General features: G+C 38.1%; 1 protein-coding gene across 2 annotated transcripts in view; it reads left to right on the top strand.

The window, feature by feature from the left end:
• Positions 1-12,951, top strand: part of NEGR1 (neuronal growth regulator 1) — an 886,597-nt gene that overhangs the window by 668,862 nt on the left and 204,784 nt on the right. For both annotated transcript variants that reach the window (NM_173808.3, XM_011541200.4), the window contains exon 5: positions 2,532-2,652. In NM_173808.3, the coding sequence (NP_776169.2) occupies positions 2,532-2,652 (121 nt within the window). The remainder of the gene's footprint in view (positions 1-2,531; positions 2,653-12,951) is intronic.

The following is a 12,951-nucleotide window of genomic DNA, read 5'->3' as shown; positions in this document are numbered from 1 at the left end:
AAAATTCTTTTTTTTTTTTTTCGAGATGGAGTTTCGCTTTGGTTGCCCAGGCTGAAGTGCAATGGCAGTCTCAATTCACTGCAACCTCTGCCTCCCGGGTTCAAGCGATTCTCCTGCTTCAGCCTCCCAAGCCTCCCGCTTCAGCTGGGATTACAGGTGCCCACCACTATGCCTGGCTAATTTTTGTAATTTTAGTAGAGACGGGGTTTCACCACGTTGGCCAGGCTGGTCTCGAACTCCTGACCTCAGGTGATCCACCCGCCTCGGCCTCCCAAAGTGCTGGGATTATAGGTGTGAGCCACTGCACACAGCCCCCTCCAAAATTCTTCTATTTACTGTCCTTTTCATCTCAGTCAATAACCTTCCAGCTACTCAAGCCAAATTAAATCACCCTTGACTCCTCTTTTTTTCTCTATGTCACTTCAGTCTGTCTAGAAATCTTATCAGCTCCAATTTCAGAGTAGACCACAAGCCCGATAACTTTCCACCACTTGCACTGCTACCACCCTGGAGTGAGCCACCCACCTTCATTTGCCTTGCTTACTGCATTCCCTACTTTATCCCTAGACTTTTATCCTAGCCTCACTATGGTCTTTTCTCAACACAGCAGCCAGAGTCATCTTTTCAAAAAAACAATCAGATTTTATCTGTACTCTGCAGGGACTCACCATTTGTCTTAGAATAAAAGTCAATTCCTTGAAATGACCTGAGAGGTCCTACCCAGTCTTCCATCCTTTGTTTCTCTTTGGTGTAAACTTGGAATCCACTGAAAATTGGTCCTATCTCCTCCTACTCTCCTTCTTTCTCTTTGTGTCGGCCACACCAATCTTGCTATTTATTAAACAAACTTGGCTAGCTTCAGCCTCAGTGTCTTACTGCAAGCTGTTCCCTCTTCCTTCAAGGTTCTGTCTCTAAATATCCACATAGCTAACTCACTCATTTACATCTAGTCTTTGTGCAAGTTTTGCCATCTCAATGAGGCCTACTCAGATTACCCTATCGAAAATAGTATTCCATTCCATTCTCTGATTCCTCTTACCTTGCAACTATAAGGGTTTTGTTTTTGTTTTACTGTATTGTTTATCACCTTCTAACATTTTATTTAAACTACTTATTTGTGATATTTGCTGTTTATAGTCTGTCTCCCCATTTGTTACCCCATCTAGAATATAAGCTTCATCACGTCAGGGCAATTTACTGCTTTGTTCCTTGAGAAATGCCTGGCACATGTTGACAGCTGAATAACTATGTGAAGGATAAAAAAAAAAGTTATGCTACAAAAAAAGCTTTTTAAGCATCACACTGTGCTAGGCACTGTGTAATGATCTTGGAATATACAAAGAATGAATCAGATATTTAACCCTGCCTTCAAGGAACTGAAAAGGAAATCTGGCATACCCATAAATACAGTACATGATACAGTGCAATACATTTCTTTTTTGTTTTGTTTTGTTTTGAGACGGAGTCTTGCTGTGTCGCCCAGGCTGGAGTGCAGTGGCACAATCTCGGCTCACTGCAAGCTTTGCCCCCTGGGTTCACGCCATTCTCCTGCCTCAGCCTCCCGAGTAGCTGGGACTACAGGTGCCCACCACCATGCCCGGCTAATTTTTTGTATTTTTAGTAGAGATGGGGTTTCACTGTGTTAGCCAGGATGGTCTTGATCTCCTGACCTCGTGGGCCACCCGCCTCGGCCTCCCAGATTGCTGGGATTACAGGCGTGAGCCACCGCACTCGGCCAATGCAATACATTTCTATCAATACATGATAGAAAGTTGATGGTATGAGAGATCCAGATACTCAGAGGCGGGGAAACTTTTTCCAGCTAGAGCAATAGGGAAGAGCATGGGGACACTGATGCCTAATATGGATCTTGAATCTGTGGAAATGGGGAACAACGGCATTCGGGCAGAAGAAACTACATTAAAGAAAAAATCACTAAATTACTAAAGCATAGGGAGGAGGCAGGAAAAAACACAGAATATTTCAAGAGCCCAGGCTTTGAGTTAACATGCCTGACTTCAAAGGCAAATTCTGCAACTAAGTAGCTGTGTGACCTTGACAATTCATTTAACATCTCTGAACTTGACTTTTCACATTTGTAAAATTGAGATAATACCATCAAGCTTAGAGTATTTTTGTGAGGAAATCGAGAATGTAAAGCACCTAGCCCAGTGACTGGCTCCCTGTGATCACTCAATAGATGAGAACTATTACTGCAGTAGAGTTGGACTGGAGTACAGATGGAGTGTTACCCTCACCAATGCCATTTTTCCAGTAGGAAGCAAGGCCAAAATGTATTGCATTTACTCTGCACTCCCTGAAAACATTCATCTATTGTTCACCTTGAAAAATGAAGCTGAAAATGACTAGTCTTGTATTTGAAGCATAAAACACTGAAAATGTGATGCGTTGGTCTATCAGGCATAAGATTGCTTTGAATATAGAAGGAATAAAAATATATGTGTGTCATATTTCTGTTGAGGATTATTTTTACTTATCTACTAGTATTTGTTTGTTTGTTTCTTTTGCAGTTGCTCCTACTATTCAGGAAATTAAATCTGGCACCGTGACCCCCGGACGCAGTGGCCTGATAAGATGTGAAGGTGCAGGTGTGCCGCCTCCAGCCTTTGAATGGTACAAAGGAGAGAAGAAGTGAGGACTTTGTGATTATTACTGTGTTCTAAGCACTTTGAGCTAACGTGCTTGTGTTTCAGATACTTACTTTAGGCAATTTCTTTAACTGGCTTGAATGATTCTCAGCAGCCTCCTCTCCAGCAAGCAAACTGAAGGGGCCCACGTGGGAGGGATGAGTAGCTAATAGCATCCAGAAGAAATGTCCACTTTGGTTTGTATGATCTCAGAAATGCCTGCAAATCCTCCATCACTGATGCATTTCATTTCTTCCCCTCCCTCCTGAAACTGAGTTGCTGGCAACTCAGTTTATTTGGGAAGTAAACCAGCTCTTAAAGGACGTGAGTACAGCTTCCACAAGAGCACTTCAAAAGCAATAGGAACTGCTGTCTTTGCCTGGCTTCCTTGATAAGCCTCAACCCTTTCACCTGCCTTATTCTCCCACAAGATAGTTTAACATTTTGTTTTACAGAACACTATGTTTTAGATATTCTGTCACTAAAGAGGCTGTAGAGGAGATAAAATACATGCCTAAAGGACTAACCAGTGGGATTTTAGGGCTGCTCTTATTTCAACTCTGTGTGATTACTCCCTTGAGAAGACCCAAAAACCTTGGCAAGAGCTACTGAATAAGATAAGACAGGACTTGACAACTTTCTCTTTACTTTCAACCAGTAGGCTCATTCAGACATCTTCAAATTCTGTTATCAATCGATCAAAAAATCACAGGACCCCTGTGGGTGAACTGTATAGAGTCTGCGTCAAAACTAGGGAGGAATATATTCAAGCAAATGCTAGGTTAAACCGTATGAAATTCCCACTTTCGAAGTCAAAAAAGCCAAATGTTGGCAATTCCATACTGTACAACATATATGTAGGGGGTTTACATACTGTATTAGTCCATTCTCATGCTGCTATAAAAAACTGCCCAAGACTGGGTAACTTATAAAGGAGAGAGGTTTAATTGACTCACAGTTCCACATGGCTGGGGAGGTCACAGGAAACTTACAATCACAGTGGAAGGGGAAGCAAACACTTCCTTCTTCACTAGGCGGCAGGAGAGAGAAGTCCCAAGCAAATCGGGGAAAACCCCCTTATAAAACCATCAGATCTTGTGAGAACTCACTCACTATCACGAGAACAGGGTGGGGGAACTGCCCCCATGATCTAATCACCTCCCATGGGTCTTTCCCCCAACATATGGGGATTACAATTCAAATTAAATTCAGGATGAGATTTTGGGTGGGGACACCTCCAAATAATATCATTTACTTATGTCATGGCTCATAACCAATTGCAGCTAAATAGCTGAACAGAAAACTGGTGAAATTATATAAAGACTTAGATATTACCACAAAGGATAAGAACGTATGTGATGCAAGCAGGTATTTTTTTCTGGAACTGGAATCAAAAGATTTGTGGAAGACAATATCCCTTTTTAACATCAACCTTAATAATAAGGGATAATATCCCCATAACAGTCTCATTTCTTTTTTTTTTTTTTTTTTTTTTTTTTTTTTTTTTTTTTTTTTGAGACGGAGTCTTGGTTTGTCGCCCAGGCTGGAGTGCAGTGGCGTGATGTCGGCTCACTGCAAGCTCCGCCTCCCGGGTTCACGCCATTCTCCTGCCTCAGCCTCCCAAGTAGCTGGGACTACAGGTGCCCGCCACCACGCCCGGCTTATTTTTTGTATTTTTAGTAGAGACAGGGTTTCACCATGTTAGCTAGGATGGTCTTGATCTCCTGACCTTGTGATCCACCCGCCTCGGCCTCCCAAAGTGCTGGGATTACAGGCGTGAGCCACCGCGCCCGGCCATACAGTCTCATTTCTTCTGACTGGTTTTACCTAAAATTTTTTTTAGCTATTTTATATGCAACTTCTATAATTTGGGTTGTTAAATTTTTAAATTCTTTTTACTAATTTATATGTTTTTACTAATTCTGAATTTGCCTTTTTATAGCTTAGTAGAAGACTCCATATTTTTATATATTGAGAATTAGATAAACTGGTCTGTGGTCACTCTCATTTCACCCTACAATATTGTACATCTGCCAATATAGCCTTTCTCAGATTTTGATAACCTAGGTTGAGAAGTTTCAGTTTGTAATTATCTATATGGACAAATATCCAGAAAAGTGGTTCTGAATCCTTTATAAGTTATGGAACTCTTTGTTCATGTACAATCTTATTTGGAAGCCCAAGAAGTAATATTTATGAACACAGCACTTCTCGAGAAGATGCTGGGTAAATGGAGCCTCAATTCTACCTGTTCACAACCCTTCTCTAAATTAGGACATCATTGCAGGAGTTCCCCAAATCCCTGGTTCTCTACAAAACACTGTATAAGTAACACTGACAGACTATTTTACATACCTTTCAAAGTCACTTTTTAATTTGTGTCATTAATTTCTTAAAAGCTAACAATCAGAGCTCCTTTGTTAAAGGCCATTTTGTTTCCAATATTTTGTGAAGCAATGTCCTGGATTTTTTTTTTCTGCTCTCTCTTTTTATCTTTTCTAAATTCAGCAACCATTGTCAAAAAAAAAAAAAAAGCTACAGTAATCCTCGGTCCACTTTCTTGGCCTATAGTAAATATAGAAAAGGGCCAATTGGTGCCCACAATCATAGCTTCAGTGATTTTTTTTTTCCTACTGTAGAGATGGACTACAGCTTTTATTAGATTTTCAAAGGAGTTCAGAACCATTTGCTAAAAAGGAAAAGGTAGATTGATTTTCCCCAATCAATGTCCTCCCCAACACACTCACACGCATAGAAAAATGCAGCTGTGAAAATCAAATGCACTTGTGAAAGGCAAACATATTTTCAGTTCAGAGTGAAGCATACATTTATCATCTTTAGGGTTATATTTGAGGCAATACTCAAATTCTCAAATATCATGGTAATGAATAATTTCGTTTCAAAACTTAAGTAAAGCAAAGTTGAGCATATGCAGGGAGTAGGAAAAAGAAGGATTCTGGTTGCTGAATGGTTGCGCTCACTATGCAGATTCACCATAAACGCCCAGGCCATTCAATTATTTACTTCATCAAAATCAAAAGCTAGCCAGGCACAGTGGCTCACGCCTGTAATCCCAGAACTTTGGAAGGCAAAGACGGGTGGATCACAAGGTCAAGAGATAGAGACCACCCTGGCCAACATGGTGAAACCCCATCTCTACTAACAAAAATTAGCCGGGCATGGTGGCAGGCACCTGTAGTCCCAGCTACTCAGGAGGCTGACGCAGGAGAATCGCTTGAACCCAGGAGGCGGAGATTACAGTGAGCCGAGATTGCTCCACTGCACTCCAGCCTGGAGACAGAGCGATACTCTCTCTCAACAAAATAAAAAATGAAAAAATAAAAATAAATAAAAAGCTGTCTATTTAGCAAGCACCTGCTATTGGACAGGTAGTGTTCTAAGTTGATAATATTTACCCATTTTACTCTTATAACAAACCTGTAAGGTAAATATTATTATTCTCAACTTTTACCTAAGGAAACCAAAGCATAGAATGCTTTTAAGTAATTTGCACAAGTTCATACAGTTAGTGGCAGAGCTGGGATTTAAACCCAGGAAGTCTTATAAATCTTCATGCAGAGTCCATGGGTTTAACCCCTATACTATGGCACCTAGTGTAGGTCAAGGCCCTTAAGAGTCTATCAAAACTAATTTGAAATGTCAATGTGAAATACCAAGGGCAAAAGCATTTCAAGTTGTTTATGGATTTGCAAAATAAGAAACTGCATGTACAAACACTCACTTATAATTTCCCAATTTATTTAGTCAAGGACACAGAAAAATGGAGTCAAGAGGAACACAGCAGAAACAGATACAGCATGTTTCAGAGTTGTCTTCTTGACCTCTGAGGTCTTTAACTGGGAACATGAAGCTGTCAGAGACCCTGTCAGAGAGGAACAGAGTTTATTTCTGCAAGATCTAGAGTTTTCTTTCCTAGAGACCTTTTTTGATTTGAGGCTCACATAAATAATCAGAAATAACTTATACGATCGCTTTACTTCTATGTAAGAGAATGTTTATAAATATTCATTTATCTTAAATCAAGATCTTCAAAGCCAGCTCTTCATACAGATAAACATAAACAAATAAACACAAACAAAAAACAGGCAGTGCCTGAACACCCATAGCCCTATCTCTGCCTGCAGTTCTTCAACATCCTGTAAAGTCCATTTCTGTGTGCTAAGAGCAATCAGCTTAAAACCCCTTAAAAGAAGGATGGTAAAATTAAGCACAATTTAAAGAAAAGAAAGAAATATACACTTACTGAGGAAAAAAAAAAAAAACACTTTCCAGTTTCTTTGAATTCTTTTATCTCATTTACTGTTCAGACCTCTGTGAAATAAGATTTTATTATCATCAATTTACTGTTGACAAAACTGAGACACAAGGGACTTCACCTGAAGAGCACTCAGCTTTATGTCACCATCAAGACATTTTAGATGTGATAACCTCTCGGCCCATGTTCTTTCCCTTGTTTCTGATGCCATTATTAGTTATCTATTGCTAAGTAACAAATTAACCCAAAACTTAGCAACTAAAACCAGTAAGCACTAACTATCTCAAGCAGCCTCTGTGGGTCAGGAATCCAGGAGCAGTTTGGCTGGATGGTTATCACTCCGGGTCTCTCATAAGATTGCAGTCAAGATGTCACCTGGTGCTGCTCATCTGAAGGCTTGACTGGGGCTGGAGAATCTGCTTCCAAGATGACTGACCCACATGCCCAACAAGTAGTGCTAGTTATTGGCAGATGGACTCAGTTAATTGCCACGTGGATGTCACCATAGGCGACGAGCTTAATCCAGTATTAGTGATCCAGGAGAGAGCTAGATAGAAGCTGACATGTCCTTTATAACCTAGTTTCAGAAGTCATGCTCTGTCATATCCATAATATATTATTAGCTATATGGGGAAACCTTATTCAATGTGATTTCATGTCATCAAAAACATTTGCTTAATAGGACTTTGGATGCCCTGAAATTGTCATTGTGAGAGGGGACAGCACAGGGACATGAATATCAAGAGGTGAGAGTCATCTGATGCCATCTTCAAAGATGGCTCCCACACTGTCTCTCTCATGCATTATCTAAGTATTTTTTATATTGGAAATATTAGTCATGTGGCTTTTAGTTTATTCCACCATGAGAGTGGCTAATGCTATATACTAGTTATTAAAATATTACCTCTTAGGATAAGGTAGTCATTTTTTAACATGATAGTTTCTTTCAGCACACCTGGAATGAAGAGTATCAATGGGCTTAATTTTACTATGTATTTATTTAAGCCTTGGGAAAATTAGAGTTATAAAGAGAGCCAAATATTTAAACTTTTTTCCTCAATACTGTAGAAGGTTGTTAAGTAGAAATATACTCTTTATATGCATATGCAGTGAAAAGACAATTTCAGAACATCCAAAGTATCATTAAGCAAACGTTTTTGGTGATATGAAATTCAATTAATCTATGTTTGAGAATAGTACATTCATTTAGGATTAAGGCTAAAAACATGAATTGTAATATACTGGCATTTCAATAGGTATTACAAAAACATGGATTGGTATTACTTTGTGAAGATGGTATTACCGTCTTGTCTTAGATGAGATTTTTGTTATTTTGCCTGCACCGTTGAATTCCCTCCTCTTTTTCTAGATTACCTCAAATCCAAGCCTGAGGTCTAGAAATACATGCTTTCTGATTTCTCATGACCATTTTAACTGCTCCAGGCTTTTAGGCAACTGATATGTTAGCTTGACTTAGTCATTTCACAATGTATACATATATAAAAACACTACATTATACCCTATACATATATAAAATTATTATTGGTCAATTAAAAATAAAGTATTAAATAAATGAATAGATTTTAAAAATAGTATTTTACTTACTTTTCCTGTTTTTAGGCAAAGGGCTAATTGTAGAAGTGCTTTTTTGGAATTTTTTAGCTGCAACCGCATTTCTTTCCTATTCCTCTAATATAATTTAATATAGGGATGAAAACGTTGCAAATGAGGTAAACATAAATTACTCCAATGAATGAAAAAGACATTAAAATTATCGATATACTAGTTTAAAAGCTGTGTACCTACAAAATGGAAATTTTTGCATTTGGCAGTGTGGGGCCTATAATATCTTGACTTTTAAGCAACATATTTCAAACTTGGCCTATTCTCTTTTAAGTCATTCCTTATAACACTGCTATAGAAAAAAATGTGATGGTCATTATCATTTTGCCCTGGTGAGAAGGGTTAGTTATCTAGGTGCATAAAATATGCATGCATAGACAAGTACAAAATGTGTGCAGATACGAATGAATGCATAGGAAAATACCTGAAGTCAACCTTGTAGAATATGCCATGTTCACTTTACATAGAGGCATGGTGACCTTTTTCAGTAAGGTTAATGTTAAGTTTCACTTTAGATAACAATTATTTTTCATTCCTGATTTTACAATGGTAACATGAACTTGAGAAATCATAATAAAGAGTAATGACCATTCCTCTCCTCTTTTCTATTCTAAATATTTACTACCTGATTGTCTAAGCAAGCTATAAATTTTATGTGAGTATTTACTTTGCTGCAGGACTGTGGGAGGGTGGGTCTTCTCCCCTTCTTATATTTTTGAGGAAACCAGCAAAATGAGTTAAAATTTTTTTGTATGTAGGAAAATTTTGATTCCCCTTTCTTTACTGTTTTCATGCAATTTATTTATGTCAAAATTATGAATACATTACATTTGCATAGCAGATTATGATTTTCAAGGCTTTATTATGTGTGGTGGCTTTGCAAAATGTTCACATTCGTTCACTTACATAGAGTCAATTCTTAAGCCTGGGGTGCTACATGACAGAGAGAGGAAGAGAGAAAATGCTAGATAGCACATATAATTAAACGGCATGACTTACTACTCTACTGCTTCAAAAATACATACCATGGGAGATATGAAACTGGCTCTCTTTCAGTGGGTCTTCATTCCCATGTATCTCTGATAGTATGAGCATCTCTCTATTTTTAATGAGGTTTTAATGTTGAAAATGTTAGTTTAATGTAACATGGCTCTGAAACAAAGCCAACTACTTTAGTGCTCACTCATCAACAGTGAGGTAAAGCAGGGATCAGCAACATTTTTTAAAACATATGTTCCCATGAGTAAAATAAAAAAATTAGCAAAAACTAACAATATTTCCATACTGATTTTTACTTATGGTTATGCATTTCTGAACTAGTGTATTCATGCATTAAATGAGCTGAGACAGAAAATTTTAAAAATGAGATAAGAATACAATACAAATGGACCTTCTGTTATTTTTTTCTCACACTCCAACTAGTCATTTATTTCTACTTTAAGATACTTGCTTTCCATTTTGGAAACTATTGTAAAGTATGGTAGTTTGAAACAAGGAGTTTAAGGAATTTTCAAGATTAATTTTAACAACATGCAACTTTACCTTATATGCTGACTTTGCTATCTTATAACACATATTTTACAACTTACTACATACTATCTTACTCATTCCTTGTATAATTCTAACCGGATTACATATGATAATAAAAACTGTATCTTTTGAAGGTGAAATGACTTGAAGGAAAGCAGACCTAATTTCCAGACTCCTATGTCAGGATATCTCTCTTCTAGATTTTACATTACAAGTTTGATTATTCAGAAAGGACTAGAAGTACATTCTGTTTCTCTTTTGCTTTTATCTTATCATTCACAAGGTGGTTCTTACCAATGTAGGCAGTTATATGCAACGTAGGCAGTTATATGTTTTGATTTAGAAGAGTACTAGAAATAACCTTATTACCATTTCAGATTAACAGTGATCTTCTCTTCTAACTTCAGATTTCACTTCTTCATTCACCTGTAAGATAATTTGAAAAGTTTCACTTCTTCATTAATCTGTGAGATAACTTGAAAAGGAAAGAAAAGTTCTTGAATTGAAGAAACTTGCATTTCTAGTGTTATCTCATTATTATATTTTGCTATGTCGTGTTATGTTGTTTATTATTTTATTTATTTCATTTGATTATATTTCTTTTAATAACCAATGTGGTGTCAGTACAACTCTTACCACGTTTGTGACGACTTTAACATTCAAGGCCAGAGATGCAAATAAATATATGAAATAACTGAAAGCATTTCAGCTACTGGGAACTGAAGAGCACATGCCCGTGTGAGACACAAATACATATTATTACATTGAAAACATTGGGTCAAACAAAGATGAAAGTGGGCCACCTCCAGTTTATATCCTGTGACTTAGAGTGTAGGATTTGTCATAAAAATCAGCAAAATGAAATAAGTACTAAGTAAGAAAATTTTCAGGGAACCCTAAGCCAAGACCTGTGAAAGTGCACAGTAAGAGCCCATTCAACTCAAATAAAAGGGTTACAGAATACTTCAGGGCAAATGTAGCTTTTTTGCTGGATGCCAAAGGATGAGTAGCACTTCCAAACATTCCACGGGGTTAAGAATAATCATGGGCGGCCGGGCGCGGTGGCTCACGCCTGTAATCCCAGCACTTTGGGAGGCCGAGGCGGGCGGATCACGAGGTCAGGAGATCGAGACCATCCCGGCTAAAACGGTGAAACCCCGTCTCTACTAAAAATACAAAAAATTAGCCGGGCGTAGTGGCGGGCGCCTGTAGTCCCAGCTACTTGGGAGGCTGAGGCAGGAGAATGGATGGCGTGAACCCGGGAGGCGGAGCTTGCAGTGAGCCGAGATCCCGCCACTGCACTCCAGCCTGGGCGACAGAGCGAGACTCCGTCTCAAAAAAAAAAAAAAAAAAAAAAAAAAAGAATAATCATGGGCAAGAGAAGAACGTGATCAATGTCATGTAAGCATTATGCGGAAGGTTTTTAAATGTCTTGGTGTGCAGGATATGAAATCAGGTATAACAGGAGTTAGGGCTAGAAAGGCACCTTAGGGAAAGACTTGGAGGGTCTTAAATGTTACAAGGCATTTGGACTGGATTCCAGAAGTATTGGAAAGCTATTGAGGGGATTTTCAAGAGTACTAAAACAATCTAGTCCCTTTTTTGTGTGTAGCAGTAGTTTAATTTAATTAATTTATTTATTTATTTTAGATTCAGCAGGTACATGTGCAAGGCTGTTATATGGGTATATTGCATAATGGTGAGGTTTGGGTTTCTAGGGCACCCGACACCCAAATAGTGAACATTGTACTCAATAAGTAATTTTTCATCCCTCACTCCTCTCCCAGCCCTCCCACTTTTGGAATCCTCAGTGTCTATTTTCCATTTTTATGTCCATGTGTACCCATTTTTTAACTCCCACTTATAAGTGAGAATGCAGTATTCGATTTTCTGTTTCTGAGTTATTTCACTTAGGATAATGGCCTATAACTCCATCCATGTTGCTGCAAAGGACATGACTTTATTCTTTTATATGGCTGCATAGTATTTCACTGAATATATGTGCCACATTTTCTTTATCCAATCAACCATTGACGGATGCTCAGGTTGATTCCATGACTTCGCTATTGTGAATACTGCTATGATAAACATACAAGTGCAAGTGGCTTTTTAATATAATTATTTGTTTTCCTTTGTTTAGTGGAATTGCTGGGCCAAATAGTAGCTCTGCTTTTATTTATTTGAGACATCTCCATAGTGTTTTAAATGGAAGCTGAACTAATTTGCATTTCTACCAGTCATGTACAAGCATACCCTTTTCTCCACATCCACACCAACATCTGTTGTTTTTTTGACTTTTTAATAATAGCCATTTTGACTGGTGTGAGGTGGTATTTCATTGTGGTTTTAATTTGCATTTCTCTGATGATTAGTGAAGCTGAGCATTTTGTGTATGCTTGTTGGCAGCTTGTATGTCTTCACAAAATATTTCTTAGAGTAGTTGGAAGAAATGGATGGGAAAGTTAAAATATGGCTTAGAGTATTAGATATGCAGTTAAAAAGCAAGAGAGAAGAAAGGTAGTATTTGCTTATTTCCGTGACTAATTGGATATAAGGAAAGGAAAATTTGAACGTAATTCTATGTTTTCCATCTAGACAACAAGATAAAGAGTGAAGCCACTGGCTGAGGCTGGAACACAGGAAGAAAGTTTAGGGAGGGACCACGCTCAGTTCGGTTTGGAACATACTAGAATCAAGGGGTTAGTACTGCACACACAGAGTCTACCCATAAACAGCTGGAATTAGGTTGTGTTTTTAAAATGCGTAATGATCGTTCTAAAATAAATAGTTGATCTTACACTTTATGTATGAAGCCTGTCGGTGTTTCTTCACTGTCCCTGGAATAAAGTCCTCACAACAGAGGGTGGTATGTAG

Source organism: Homo sapiens, chromosome 1 (assembly GCF_000001405.40).
Source record: "Homo sapiens chromosome 1, GRCh38.p14 Primary Assembly".
NCBI classification, from domain to species: domain Eukaryota; kingdom Metazoa; phylum Chordata; class Mammalia; order Primates; family Hominidae; genus Homo; species Homo sapiens.
This window is presented reverse-complemented; position numbering and strand designations above follow the sequence as displayed.